This window comes from Homo sapiens, chromosome 7 (assembly GCF_000001405.40).
Source record: "Homo sapiens chromosome 7, GRCh38.p14 Primary Assembly".
NCBI lineage: Eukaryota > Metazoa > Chordata > Mammalia > Primates > Hominidae > Homo > Homo sapiens.
In genome coordinates this window covers 131152888-131168559 of record NC_000007.14, presented here as the reverse complement: position 1 = coordinate 131168559, position 15672 = coordinate 131152888, and the positions used below count along the sequence as shown (strand labels likewise).

Sequence of the window (15672 nt, the reverse complement as noted above, 5' to 3'; positions counted from 1 at the left end):
CAGAGAACAGCAAAGTGGGAATCCTTAATGTCTACCAGTGGGGACAGGGGTAGCTAGGATGAGAAAAATAGAGGGGGACATTAATATGGTGGCTTAGCCTCAATCCATGCATAAAGATTGTCAAGGTGCATGGGGGCAAGTTGTGTGGCTTTTTTTTAAAGCCTTTATTGTTTCATAATTGTGTCCTTCATAATCAGGCAGACACAGCCTAAAATTATACAGGAAGAGTGGCAAAGAGGAAGGAGTCAGGAGTGAGAAAGCGGAGGAATGAGGCATGGGAGGCTAATGAGCTGTAGGGCCAGCCATTGATGTCAGGATCCTCAGAACTAAAAGTAGAAGCCACAGCCTGGAGACTCACACTTACCACTGATACCCAACAATGCCATCTAGATGGTGGTGAGTTAGTTGTAACAGCAGTTTCTTTTGAGTATTTTAAAAAATGATTATTATAAAAAATTAAATAGCACATTACAGAAAGGATATAACCTAAATACAGAAAACTGAAAAGATTTAGGAAAAATAAGTCACCAATAATTCCATTAGCCTAATTCATTTAATATCAGCATTTGGGTTAATTTCCTCCTAGTCCTTTTTCAGGTGTATATTTAAAGATACGTGAAATCACACTGTATACAGTTGTGGATCCTGTTATTTTAAGTATAACATTGTCTCATAGCATTTTCCTTGTTGCTAACCAGCCTTTCATAACTATCCTTTTAACAAGTGAATAATATATCATTAAGTAAATGAACAGTAATTTACTTAATTTAACTATCTCTGTATATTGTTAGATGTTTAGAATCTTTCCAATTTCTTGATATCATAAATATCACATTAGTATACATTTTTCTGTGTGTTTTCTTTTCCACATTATTTTTTTTTTTTTTTGAGACAGAGTCTTGCTCTGTTGCCCAGGCTGGAGTGCAGTGGTCCCATAACAGCTCACTGCAGCCTCAACCTCCCAGGCTCAGGTGATCCTCTCACCTCAGCCTCCTGAGTAGCTGCGACCACAGATATGTGCCATCATACCTGGTTAATTTTTTATATTTTATAGAGACAGAGTCTCACCATGTTGCCCTAGGCTGGTCTTGAACTCCTAGGCTCAGGCAATCCTCCTGCCTCAGCCTCCCAAAGTGCTGGGATTACAGGCATAAGCCACCATACCTGGCCTTCTTTTCCACATTTTAGATTATCTTCTTAGAATTGACTTTCAGAATTTTCAAAACATAAAACGTTGCAGGAGATGGACATTTTATGACTCTTTATACTTACTGCCAAATTGCTTTTCAAAGGGATTATAACAATGCCCAGTCCCAAGAATGGTGTAATGGTGTACTCATGAGGTAGCAAACCTCATCATACCCTTGAAAACAGTGGATCATTTCATTAATTTTTTTTTTTTACAGCTTCAGTTTCCAGGTTGTGATATAAGCAAGTAAACAAATAGTATGTCAGATGCTGATCAGTACAATGGGGAAGAGGAAACTGGAGAGAGGGGATGTGGCGGGGGAAGTGTTGCTGTTCTGTACAGGATGATCAGGAAAGGCCTTTCTAAAAAGATGATACTTAGGCCGGACGCAGTGGCTCACACCTGTAATCCCAGCATTTTGGGAGGCCATGGCAGGCAGATCACCTGAGGTCAAGAGTTTGAGATCAGCCTGGCCAACATGGTAAAATCCCATCCTGTCTCTACTAAAAATACAAAAAGTAGCCCAGCATGGTGGTGGGCACCTGTAATCCCAGCTATTGGGGAGGCTGAGGCAGGAGAGTCACTTGAACCCAGGAGACGGAGGTTGCAGTGAGCCGAGATCGTGCCACTGCACTCCAGCCTGGGCAACAAGAGCGAAACTCTGTCTCAAAAACAAAACAAAACATATTTGAATAAGAGCCAAAAGAAGTGAGGGATTAAGGTGTAAGAACTGCCCGAGGAAAGAGGGTTTCAGGCAGAGAAAACACTAAGAAAGGCCCTAAGACAGACCCATGTCGGGCAATGTTTGGGGAACAGCAAGAAGGCCAGGGTGGCAGTGCCCAGCGAGAAGCGGGTAAGGAAGGAGATGAGCTCAGAGGCAATGTGGGCAGCCAGGCCATTGAAGGCTTTATCAGCCATTGTAAGGATGTTTCTTTTACTCTGAGTAAGATGAGAAGGCATTGAAGGGTTTTGAGCAGAGGGGATTTGGGAATTGGCCTGTGTTTTATATGATTACGTTAGCCAGTGTGTTCGGAATGGGCTAAATGTGCTCGAAATCAAACTCAGCATCTTTCCCGGCAAACCTCCTACAGTCTCAGCATCTCCATCCTCTGACTCACCAATGCTCAAAACCATAGTAATCTTTTACATCCCAAAACCAATTGTCGCCAAGCTCTGTCAATACTCCCTCTGGAATGTCTCTTGCATTTGCCTTCTCTGTCCATTCCTACCGCCAAAAGCCTACCATAATCATTTTCTTTTTTTTTTGAAACAGAGTCTCCCAGGCTGGAGTGCATGGGCATGATCACAGCTCATTGCAGCCTCGACCTCCCAGGTTCAAGCAGTCCTCCCATCTCAGCCTCCTGCACAGCCGGAACCACAGGTGCACACTGCCACTCTCAGCTAACATTTGTATTTTTTGTAGAGATGGGGTTTCGCCATGTTGCCCCGGCTAGTCTCGAATTCCTGGGCTCAAGCGATCTGACTGCCTTGGCCTCCCAAAGTGCTGGGATTACAGGCATGAGCTACCGTGCCTAGCCCCATAACCGTTTTCTAACTCATCTCCCGGCCTTCTACCTTTCTGCTCACCCTCGTACCACCCGGTGCCGCTAGAACAATCTTCCTAGCAAAGCTGATCACTCGTGTTATCTTATTTGTCTCCCTGCTCTTCACCACTCAAAAGGTCTAAATTCTTCAGACTGGAATTCAAGCCCTACCACAATTTGATCTTAATCTAGTGCTCAAAACTTATCTCCCATTGTTTTATTCAGAATTAACTGTGCCTTCCTAACAAGTTCCTTGAACCAGCTCTGTACTTTATTACTGTACATTTTTGCTTACATCGTCTCCACTTCCCTACACCTTCTGTGTAAAACACTCTTCCCTTGGGCCGGGCGTGGTGGCTCACGCCTGTAATCCTAGCACTTTGGAAGGCCGAGGCGGGCAGATCACAAGGTCAGGAGTTCGAGACCAGCCTGGCCAACATGGTGAAATTCTGTTTCTATTAAAAATACAAAAAATTAGCCAGGCATGGTATCGCGTGCCTGTAATCCCAGCTACTCAGGAGGCTGAGGCAGGAAAATCGCTTGAACCTGGGAGGCAGAGGTTGCAGTGAGCAGAGATCGCGCCATTACACTCCAGCCTGGGCAACAAGAGTGAAACTCTGTCTCAAAAAAGCAAAAGAAAACAACAACAACGAAAACACCCTTCCCTCAAAGCCCCACCCAGAAATCCTACCCACACTTCCGGGATCCCAAATATCACTTTCTTCATGAAGCCATCCCCACTCTCCCTGGCTGGAATGATGTTTTTTTTCTTCTGTGCCCCATAAGTTCTATTCCACTACTCACACATTCTGTACCACATTATACTATCATTTTGTGAATATACTTTCCTTCCTGCCAGGTGATAAGCTCCTTGAGGATCCGTGTCTTGTTCATCGTTGTTGCTCCTACAGCACTTATTTCAATGCCTTGAACATAGTAGGTTTCCAAGAAAGGTTTGTGGACTTGAATTCTCCAGGGCCTTGTTGCCAATTTGTTCTTGCAACAGAACTAGAATTCAGGTCATCTGATTCCCAGCTCCCTATCCCTTTCCCAATACCATTCTCTCTCTGTCTTCCTTCTATGATTCATTGTCATCTCATCTGAATGACATTTGAAACCGCTAAGGAATTTTATGGAAGAGTGACTAAACAAAAAACAAATGCTGGAATGTATTTTCCATGTAGCTATTTAAGCCAAAGTGAACCTAATGAAGGGGCACTAAAAATCTGATCCTGAATAAAAAATAAAATAGAAACAAACAACAAAAAAAATGGCACATATATGTCTAGAAACGTTTTAGCTTCTTAGGGCTTGATTTTTGGCTTGCATTAATCTTATAGGAGTCCAGTTGCCATGTTTCTTGGTAAGCTATAAAGTTGTAGTCTGGGGGAAGAAATAAAAAACAAATAAGTGGCCGGGTGTGGCAGCACACACCTGTAATCCTAGTACTTTGGGAGGCCAAGGCAGGCAGATTGCTTGAGATCAAGGTTTTGAGACCAGCCTGGCTAACATAGTGAGACCACATCTCTACCAAAAAAGATACAAAAATTAGCTAGGCATGGTGGTGTGTGCCTGTAGTCCCAGCTACTCAGGAAGCTGAGTTGGGAGGGTTGCTTGAGCCCAAGGAGCAGAGGTTGCAGTGAGCTTAGATCTTGCCACTGCACTCCAGCCTCAGTGACAGAGTGAGACCCTGTCTCAAGAAAAAACAAAAACAAAAACAAAGCAAGTAAGTCTATTTTTCTGTTTAAAAGCTCTTAGCAACATTTTTAGCCCCTAATAATATGAGAGGGTTTAAACATTTGGGAACGAGGCCCTGTGGCAAAGCTTAATTTGCAATTATTCCAATCCTCCCCCTGCCTTCCCAACTTGGAAAAATAGCCCAAGGAGCTACTGTTCTAAACTGGGCATCCTCTTCGGTATTTGAAGTTTAAAAAGTAAATTATACCCGTGATACATGTTATATACAAGTATAATATATGTAAAATGCAAATAAAATTGTCATAGCATTTAACAACTAGTAATCGTTAGCATTAATGATATACACACGAGAGTTACTTGTGAGCGAAGAACACTGATGCCCTTAGGAAAAAGAAGATTTTACCAAGTTAAAATATATATTTTAGAGAATGGTTTAATATTTTAGAGAATGGCTTAATATTTCAGAGAATGGTTTCTCTCCTTGACAGTTTTGTCTCTCCTCTCCACTGAAACTTAGAAGAGGGCAGGATTGCTGTGAAGAATGTCCTATTGAGGTTTTCACAAATTCGAATGAAATGGGATGAAATTAAAACCCTCCACTTTACAGGGAAAAGGGATGAAAATGAAGCACTCATTCATCTCAGTCTACTCCATCTCAATCTGAATGTTACAGCAGAGGCTGACCTGTGAATCTAATGTCAATTGTGATAGAATCGTAGAAATGAAAGCAAGCTCTGAAATAGTTCCTTCTACCTTCGATCCTCAGTGGGTGAGCCCCGAACCATTACAAACAGGAGTTAGTATTTAAGAAACTTTCTCATAGGCAATTTCCTCCAACTGCACCCTAAATTCTACTTTACAGAACTTCATAGACCATTTTTCCTGTGCTCTACAATGAAGATATGAAAACAGCCTTTTGCCACAGCTAATGATCCTAACCATTTTTCTATCACTTGGGTTACATTTCTGGACTATGGGGAGACAGCCTAGAGCAATGGGTAAGAATTCAGAATTGGAGACAGAGTTGCGCTTAAGCCACAGCTGTATGATCATAGGTAATTGACTTAAGCGCTCTAAGCTTCAATTTCCTCACCCATAATAGAAGGATGATAATACCATCCAGCTGATAAGATAACTGTGAGGACTTGTCTAGAACCAGTGCTGTCCAATAGAAACATAATGGAAGCCACAATGTGAGCCACATGTGTGATTTAACATTTTCTAGTAGCCCATTAAGAAAAGTAAAAAGAAATAGGCAAAATTAATTTTAGTGCTATATTTTACTTAACTCATGTCCAAAATATCATTTCAACATGTAAAAAATGTTCATGAGTATTTTACATTCTGTTTTTTGCACTAAGTTTTCGAAGTCCAATGTGTATTTCACACGTACAGGTTGAGCATCTCTTATTCGAAATGCTTGGGACCACAAGTATTTCGGATTTCAGATTTTGGAATATCTGCATATACATAAATGAGATATCTCGGGAATAAGACCCAAGTCTAAATTCAAAAATCATGTGTGTTTCATATACATATTATACACATGGCCTGAAGGTAATTTTATATAATACTGTTAATAATTTTGTGCATGAAACAAAGTTTTTATCAATCGAATGATCAGAAACCAAAGGTGTCACTATCTCAACCACCCATGGGACAATCTGTGCTTGTTTGGCAACATCATTCCTGACGCTCATTTATGTGCTACTGATAAGCAATCATTTTCTCACGTTTATTTAGACATAAGTACTTAACAGTAAAAAATATAACACACCATGAGCGTGTTGGTTCATTCCTATAATTCCAGCATTTTGAGAGGTCCAGGTGGCTGAATCACTTGAGGCCAGGAGTTCGAGACCAGCCTGGCCAACATGATGAAACCCCGTCTCTACTAAAAATACAAAAATTAGCCGGGCTTGGTGGTGCACGCCTGTAATTCCAGCTACTCCAGAGGCTGAGGCAGGAGAACTGCTTGAACCCAGGAGGATCGCTTGAACTCAGGAGGCGGAGGTTGCAGTGAGCCTAGATCGTGCCACTGCACTCCGGCCTAGGTAACAGAGTGATATACATATATATATGTGTGTGTGTGTATATATATATATATATTTGTATATCACTCTGTTACATATATATATATATATATATATATATATATATATATACACACACACACACGTATATATATGTGTATATATGTATATATAACATACTATTAAAATAGTGAAAAAAACAATGTGTTCAGAGTTACTAATCAGCACAGCAGCATCCCTTAGAATACCTGTGTCACGGCCAGGCATTGTGGCTCACGCCTGTAATCCCAGCACTTTGGGAGGCCGAGGCGGGCGGATCACGAGGTCAGGAGATCGAGACCACGGTGAAACCCCGTCCCTACTAAAAATACAAAAAATTAGCTGGGCGTGGTGGCGGGCGCCTGTAGTCCCAGCTACTCGGGAGGCTGAGGCAGGAGAATGGCCTGAACCCGGAAGGCGGAGCTTGCAGTGAGCCGAGATCGCACCACTGCACTCCAGCCTGGGCGACAGAGCGAGACTCCGTCTCAAAAAAAATAAAAAATAAAAAAAGAATACCTGTATCACTTGCTAAACAGCAGCAATAGCAGAGAACAGCAGGCTTTGTCACCACCAACAATGCCACTTGTAGCATCATAGTCCTCAAAAAGTTTTGGATTTTGGAGCATTTTATATTTTGAATTTTTAGATTAGGGATACTCAACCTGTATAGCATACCTTAATTCAGACTAACCATATTTCAAGCGCTTGATAGCCACATGTGACCCGTGGCTACCATACCGGAGAGTGCAAGTCTAGGAAAAAGGCTGTGACTCATTTAGCATTATGCTAGGCATAGAGAATTCTACAAAATCATCATGGATGTTATTGTTAGAGGACTGTGTAATCTTCTCAAAGCATTCACTTCTCTAGACTGACCCTGTCTGTCCTGCTCTTAGAAGTACCTGGAGAGGTTCCACTGCTCAAGCTTGAGCTCTTTAGTTACTTTAAGGGGTACTTCCTTATGGTCACTCCCCATCTATTGTATGGAGAAGGCGACCAAAAGTGGCCTCCGTGGGGGTTCTGCATAGAAAATACACACATGGAGTGTCAATGACCTTCAGGGTACTGACTTATGAAACCCCAAGAAGGAGACACCATCATATTGATAGGACAGGATAGGACATTTGCTAAAGCAACCACTTGCTCCTATACTTCTCCCCTTCTGAGTAGAGAGGCTTAGCTAAGTAATACATGTGATCAAAAGTTGATTTGTTAAATTAAACATAGGGCCAGGTGCGGTGGCTCATGCCTGTAATACCAGGACTTTGGGAGGCTGAGACAGGTGGATTGCTTGAGCTTAGGAGTTTGAGACCAGACTGGTCAACCTGGTGAAACCCTGTCTCTACAAAAAATGCCAAAAAAAAAAAAAAAAAAGCACAGTGTGGTGGCACATGCCTATAGTCCCAGCTACTCAGGAGGCTGAGGTGGGAGAATAGGCTAAGCCTGGGAGGCAGAGGTTGCAGTAAGCCAAGATCGCACCACTGCACTCTAGCCTGAGTGACAGAGTGAGACCCTGTCTCAAAATAATAATAATAATAATAATAATAATAATAATAATAATAATTAATAATAATAATAAAATAAGTTAAACATAGAGTTCCCTTACAACTGAATAATTCTCCTAGGTATGTACCCAAGAAAATTATAAAATGTACATTTCCACAAAAGCTTGTACACAAAGGTACACAGCAGCATTATTTACAATAGCCAAGAAATGGAAACCACCCAAATGCCCAAGAGCTGATGAATGGATAAACAGCATGTGGTATATTCATACAATGGAATCTTTTTCAGCCACAACAAGGAATGAAGGACTGATACAATATGGATGAACCTTGAAAACATTATGCTCAGTGAAAGAAGCCAGTCACAAAAGGCCACATATTACATGATTCCATTTATATGAATATTTACATTAGGCAAATCCATAGAGCCAGAAAGCAGATAAGTGGTTGCCAGGGTCTGTGGTTAGGAGAGAATTGAGAGTGACTCTACCAGGCATGGGAGTTTTTTTTTTCTAGGATGACGGAAGTGTTCTGGAGCTAGGCTCGGGCTCTGGAGCCAGGCAGCCTGTGTGAAAGCCCAGGTCTCATTACTCATTCGCTTTGTGACTTTGAGCCATGTTCCTACCTCTTCTGTGCCTCAGTTTCCCTTTACAATGACGATGATAAGAGTGCCTGGGCTTGTTATGAGGATTCAGATAGTTAACATATGTAAAGTGCTCAGGAGAATTTCTGGCCAGTGGTATATACTATTTTTTTTCCCATTATAATGTTTATGACTTTAAGAAAATTGATATATAATAGTCGTACATATTGTTGGGGTACATGTGATATTTTGAAACCTGATAGCTATTTTGAAATATATAATAAATTATAGTCAACTTTAATTTCCCTACTGTACTGCTGAATACTATAATTTATTTCTACTATCTAATTCTATGTTTGTACCCATTAGCCAACATCCCTTCCTCCCCCACTCCCCCTTCCCTTCCCAGCCTCTGGTAACCACCATCCTACTCTCCACCTCCATGAGATCCACATTTTTAGCTCTCAGATATGAGTGAGAACATTTGATATTTGTCTCACTGTGCCTGGCTTATTTCACTTAACAAAATGACCTCCAGTTCCATCCATGTTGCTGCAAATGACATGATTTCATTTTTTAAATGGCTGAATAATAGTCCATTGTATGTGTGTGTCTGTGTGTGTGTGTGTGTATCCACATTTTCTTTATCCATTCATCTGTTGATGGACACTTAGCTTGTGTGATAGATATTTCATAAGTGAACCTGATCAGCCTGTCCCCCACCCTTGCTTATTTCTGTCCATAGCATTAGTCACTTTCTTTTTCTTTTTTTCTTTTTGAGACAGGGTCTCTCTGTTGTCCAGGCTGAAGTGCAGTGGCACGATCTCGGCTTACTGCAACCTCCACCTCCGGGCTCAGGCGATCCTCTCACTTCAGCCTCCCTAGTAGCTAGGACTACAGGTGTGCCACCACACCCAGCTAATTTTTTTTTAAATTTTTTTGTAGAGACAAGGTTTCACCATGTTGCCCAGGCTGCATTCATCACTTTCTAACCTACCCTATAATAACTTGCTCATATATGTTGCTTGTAGCCCATCAACCCCTACTAGAAGGCAGGGATCTAATCTATTTGTATGCTGCTAGATTCCAAGCACCCCAAACAGTGGCTAGCACAGACAATGCACCCCATCACACTTTCTGAGTGAATGAACAAATGGTTGGCAATTCTGGCCAATGGCACTGGGCAGCCTGGATGGAAATGAGATGCACCTTTCACTGAACAGTTTTTGCACCATTTTCTATTCTACCATGTGCTCAGTCCTTTTCATAAAGGTGAAAAGTGAAAAATGAAATACAGAAAATAAGAATACTTGACCTGAGGGAGAAGCTGGTGGCATTAAACAGTAAGACTTTAGGCATCAGTGGAAAGTGTGTGATCTAGAGAAAAAAGTGAGGATGTGACTGCGGGTCACCTTTAGACTTTTAACCCCTGAGTAAAGAGTGGAATGACACCTCAGGAATGGCACTCAGTCCTACTCTTGAAGCACAGTATGTACACAGGTTAATAAGAAGTTTGTTTGTTTGTTTGTTTGTTTGAGATGGAGTTTCACTCTGTAGCCCAGGCTGGAGTGCAATGGCGTGACCTCAGCTCACTGCAACATCTGCCTCCCAGGTTCAAGTGATTCTCCTGCCTCAGCCTCCAGAATAGCTGGGACTTTGCCACCATGCCCAGCTGATTTTTTTATATTTTTAGTAGAGACAGGGTTTTGCCTTCTTGGCCAGGCTAGTTTTGAACTCCTGACGTCAGGTGATCCGCCTGCCTCAGCCTCCCCAAGTGCTGGGATTACAGGCTTGAGCGCCTGGCCTAACAAGAAGTCTCAATAAGATCTTTCGTATTGTGCAATATGTGTTCTGTACTTACGGGTACAATGAGAAATTTTTCCATGGCAAAACGCCCGTTTCCAGGCACAGTAAACAGAAGAGCTTGCGGAGGATTGTTGCCCACTTCCCACTGCAGCATGGATAGGCAGGTGGCCACAGTGGACGGGATTCCTCGGGCAGGGACAGAAGGTCTGTCACCACTGCTAGCAGTGCCCTTGCTCATTCCTTAATAGGCTCCGGAAACCCAATAAAGATTACAGATGCCAAATACGAGACTAGACTCCAAATGAACTGTTTTGTAAATGTATCCCAACTAATTTGGGGTAAAACTCTGCTCTAAGTTGTCTTTGAGGTCTCTCTACCTCTTTCTTTCCTTCTGCCTTAATACCTCTCTGCTCTCTTCTGTTAGGAAAAAAACAACTGATGAGTCACCAGCTTCTCGGGTAATGTATTATCCTTTTCAGGAGCTTTTGCATGAAAAAAGAGGTCAAAAGGAGAGAAAGAAACAATAATGATAATGTTGGTGATGATATTAATAATACTAATAATGATGACCATAGCTGATGATAACTGTGTGTCAGCTATTCCACCAAAAAATGGATACGATTTCTCTCATTTAGTCCTCCAACAATTCTATGAGGTAGATATCACACCTATGTTACAGATGAGGAATGAAAAATCATATAGCAAGTGGCAGGTGAAGGCAGACTGTCTCTAAAAATTTTTGCTCTAAGGAATTTTTTTATTTTTAAGACAGTGTCTCTCTCTGTCAGCCGGGCTGGAGTGCAGTATTGTGAACATGGCTCACTGCAGCCTTGACCTCCTGGGTTCAGGTGATCCTCCCACCTCAGCATCCCAAGTAGCTGGGACTATAGGCACACACTGCCACACCCAGCTACATTTTTATTTTATTTTATTTTTTGTATTTTTTGTAGAGACAGGGCTTCACCATGTTGCCCGGACTGGTTTTGAACTCCTGGCTTCAAGTGATCTGCCTGCCTCAGCATCCCAAAGTGCTGGGATTACAGGCGTAAGCCATCATGCCTGGCTATGTAAGAATTTCTCAAGTAGAACATTTGATCCTGTAGGAAGACAGCTGGGGGGAGTTAGACAACCACAGCAACCCTCAGTAGCGGCGACAATGACAGTTGAGGCTTGAAACTTCAAATAACCCACTGTGTCTGTGACTGCCTAGGTTCAAATCTTGAGTCTGACATTCTTAAGATTACCTGGGGGCAAGTCACACACTCTCTCTGTCCTTGAGATTATGGTTAGAACTCATCAAGATAATGCAAACAAAGTACTTAAAACAGTGCCTATGAATACATACATGAAGCACTCAGATGCTGTGTACAGGTGCTCCTCAACTTACAATGGGGTTATGTCCTGATAAACCCATCGTAGGTTGAAAATAACAAAAGTCAAAAAAGCATGTAATACACTTAACCTACTGCACATCGCGGCTTAGCAGAGCCTACCTGAAACATGTTCAGAACACTTGCAATACAGTAGTCAGTAAATTACATGAGAAATTCAACACTTTATTATAAAATGGGCTTTGCGTTAGGTGATTTGGCCCAGCTTCACGAGAGAGTAGTATCTGCACATCGCTAGCCCAGGAAAAGATGAAGATTCCAAATTTGACATATGGTTCCTGCTGAATGCCTGTCACTTTTCTTTTTTTTTTTTTTTTTTTTTTTGAGACAGAGTCTTGCTCTGTCACCCAGGCTGGAGTGCAGTGGCGCGATCTCGCCTCCACGCCCGGCTAATTTTTTGTATTTTTTAGTAGAGACGGGGTTTCACCGTGTTTGCCAGGATGGTCTCGATCTCCTGACCTCGTGATCCACCTGCCTTGGCCTCCCAAAGTGCTGGGATTACAGGAGTGAGCCACCGCGCCTGGTCGAATACTTGTCACTTTCACACCATTGTAAAGTCAAAAAATCATGATAAACTATTGTATTAGGTTGATGCAAAAATAATTGCATTTTTTGCTATTAAAATAATAGCAAAACCCGCAATGACTTTTGCATCCCTAACAAGTCACTGATTGTCTGCATTTTGATTGCTACAAATCCCTGCTAAGTATTGGAAAACCCATAATTTATTTCTAGCTTCCCAAATAACAAAGGTGCTCTTTTACCTAATTTTATAATGTAGTTGTTGATCCATTCTCTATAGAATTTTTATCAAAAAAGTGACATAATCAAATTTTGAAGGTAGACACGCCAAATCCCATTTCCCTAACACGACAATTATTTTTGGTTTTGCGTATTGCCTTCAACTTTTGCTAACTCTGAGAAGCGACGTGGAAAGGAGACACTGTACCATATCAGTTTGGGTTTTTGTCACACTCTCACAAAGTAGCTGTATGACTTTAATGAAGTTACATAACTGCCCTTTGTCTTCGTTTTCTAAAGTATAAAATGAAGGGGTTAGGCCAGACGATCTTTAAGATCGCTCTAGCTGTAACAGTCTATGATTTTGCCTATAATCTACTTTTTTTTTCTTTCATAATCATGGTTCAGTTGTATATAGAAGGTACATGTAAAATAGTGTTTACAAAGTTAGTTAATTTCCTAAACTATGTTTGGAAAATAAAGTTTCACATATAATGAGTTCTGTGAAGGTAAGGTTACAATAAAAAATCCCAGGAATTTCAAAGATAGCTGCCAAAATTACCAAAAAGATATAAAAATTCAGATCTTAATACATTCACGATATATGTATGTTTACAACTAAAGGATTTATAATTCAGTGCATTAATTATAAGGAATACATTAAGTTTGACAAGCCCATTCTAATCTTTGTGGATTGCTTCCTGTCAATACCACTTCATGGAGGGATAAACTATTTCCTCCTTCGTTTCAAATGCAGAATAGCTTGGTGATGAAATAGCTCTTCCATATACACATAAAATTGTACAAGTAAAGGAGCACTTCGCAGGATTTTCTTGAGATATAAAGGGCAAATAAGTAGGACTTTTAAGGAGCCAAATATACAGTTATTAATGTAAATATGAAAATGTTACAGCAGTGTAATTTTTCCATATGGTATTATTGATTTTTTAAATTTCTCTATAAGAACATCAAAAAGGGAAAAACAAAAAAGGCACAGTTCTACCTGACATAGATTGGCAGAACTATGTCAGTGTAAATGTCTAAAATGTCTATAACTATTAATGCAGTGAATCAGTCACTCTCTCCCCCACTGCCACTTACCATGTAACCTGGTATAACCTTTCTGGAGGTGATCTGACAAAACTAATCAAGAGTTTAAACATGTTCCTACCCTCTAGTCGGGTAATTCTACTTACAAAAAAGTGTATGAAGGAAATGATAAATACACAATTGCTTTGCCACACTTATTATATATAAGTGTAAAGAATTGGGAACATCTAAATGACCAGAAATAGAAGAATAGCTAAATAATTGATGCTACACATACATGGAATTTATGTATATATGAATATATATTTATGATACATGTGTATGTATATCATATATCATATCATAATATAGATAACAAGAGTGCTCATTGCTTCTGGCTTAGTCATTGTGTCTAGGTTTTTCAGTGAACAGAGGACCTAGGAGACATGTCTATACATGTACATAGACACCCTAAATTTATATCAACTCTCAATTCAAATTCAGGACCACAGGATTTCTGCCTAACCTCCTCCATGTTACATCTATATTCCCTTCCTCTCATGCTGAGAATCCTGCTTCTCAAGGACAGCAGGCATAGTAAGATTAGAATTACCACAATTAGGCCGGGGCGGTGGCTCACACCTGTAATCTCGGCACTTTGGGAGGCCAAGGCGGGTGGATCATCTGAGGTTAGGAGTTCGAGACCAGCCTGGCCAAAGTCAAATCTACAAAACAAGGTGAATTCTAAGAAGTCTAGTTTCTATCCCTATCCCCTCCACTTTCTTTCCTCCATTTTTTACAGGTAACTACTATTAATATTTTGTGATGTGAATCCTCCTATTCTTTGTTTTCTAATATAAGCAAATGTATTTACATATGTGTGTGTATGCATGCATATATGCGTGTATGTATATACATTTACATATATATCCCTTCTGACCTGTATGGTAGCATCGTAGACTCACATTCCTCCCCCCATTTTTTTGTAATATATCCTACAGATCAATCCATAATAAATATATTTAAAGATCCTACTTCTGGCCAGGTGCAGTGGCTCATGCCTATAATCCCAGTACTTTGGGAGGCCAAGGCAGGCAGATTGCCTGAAGTCAGCAGTTCAAGACCAGCCTGGCCAGCCTGGTGAAACCCCATCTCTACTAAAAATACAAAAATTAGCTAAGCATGGTGGTGCACGCCTGTAATCCTAGCTACTCAGGAAGCTGAGGCAGGAGAATCACTTGAACCCAGGAGGCGGAGGTTGCAGTGAGCCAAGATAGTGCCACTGCACTCTAGCCTCAGCAACAGAGCAAGACTCCTTCTCAAAAAAAAAAAAAAAACCAAAAAAAACCTACTTTCATTTTGTAGCTACACAGACTCCATTGTGTGTAGGTATCATAGTTTATTCAACCAGTCCTCCATTAATAGACATTGGGGTTATTTCTACTCTTTTGGTATCATAAATAGTTTCTGCCCTAAGGTTTTGTATTATATGTATATATATTCACATCTTAAATATAAGTAATTTCTACTATGTGGAAATATTCAAGATGAGCCTATGCCATCTTGTACCAAATAGCAGGAAAGCTATCAAAAACTGCTTGGGTTGAGTCAAAAGATGTCAGGAACCAATTTGAAGATGCTATCACAGACCAATGAGGATAATTTAAGCATTAATAAGAATAATAAATAATATGTACAGAAGCACATTAAATACATTTCAATGAATGAGTTCAAATTATAATTACAATAGAGAAAACAAAAGTTACTTAAAAATAAGACAAAGCAAACACCATTGGCACATGCCAAAAAATCAACTTAAGGAATGATAGGATTAAAATATTACCATTTTTACAATCCTTAATGAACTAATGGATCTAGGTAACATCACAAAAGAAGAGATTTTTATGTACCACCTAATGGCAAAATACTCCACTCCCTAGGAAGCAGTCTTGCCAAAAAAAAAAAAAATATATATATATATATGAATCTGATTAAGCCTGTACAGAGGAACATGTTGAGCTATATCATAGGAATGCAATCAGAAACATCCAGACTGTGGGAAGTTCTACAGGACAAACAACTTGGTTTTTGCAACAAATAAGTTATGAGGAAAA

General features: G+C 40.5%; 1 protein-coding gene across 2 annotated transcripts in view, besides 1 other annotated feature; it reads right to left on the bottom strand.

The window, feature by feature from the left end:
- Positions 1-15672, bottom strand: part of MKLN1 (muskelin 1) — a 386539-nt gene that overhangs the window by 328073 nt on the left and 42794 nt on the right. The gene's annotated exons all lie outside the window — the stretch shown is intronic.
- Positions 3512-4711: an enhancer, noted in NCBI's record as "MED14-independent group 3 enhancer chr7:130848608-130849807 (GRCh37/hg19 assembly coordinates)". NCBI's record gives its function as "activates an origin of replication core promoter dependent on BRD2, BRD4, P300/CBP and CDK7 cofactors, and independent of MED14, by STARR-seq in HCT116 cells {active_cell/tissue: HCT116}" and the evidence as "EXISTENCE:reporter gene assay evidence [ECO:0000049][PMID:35650434]".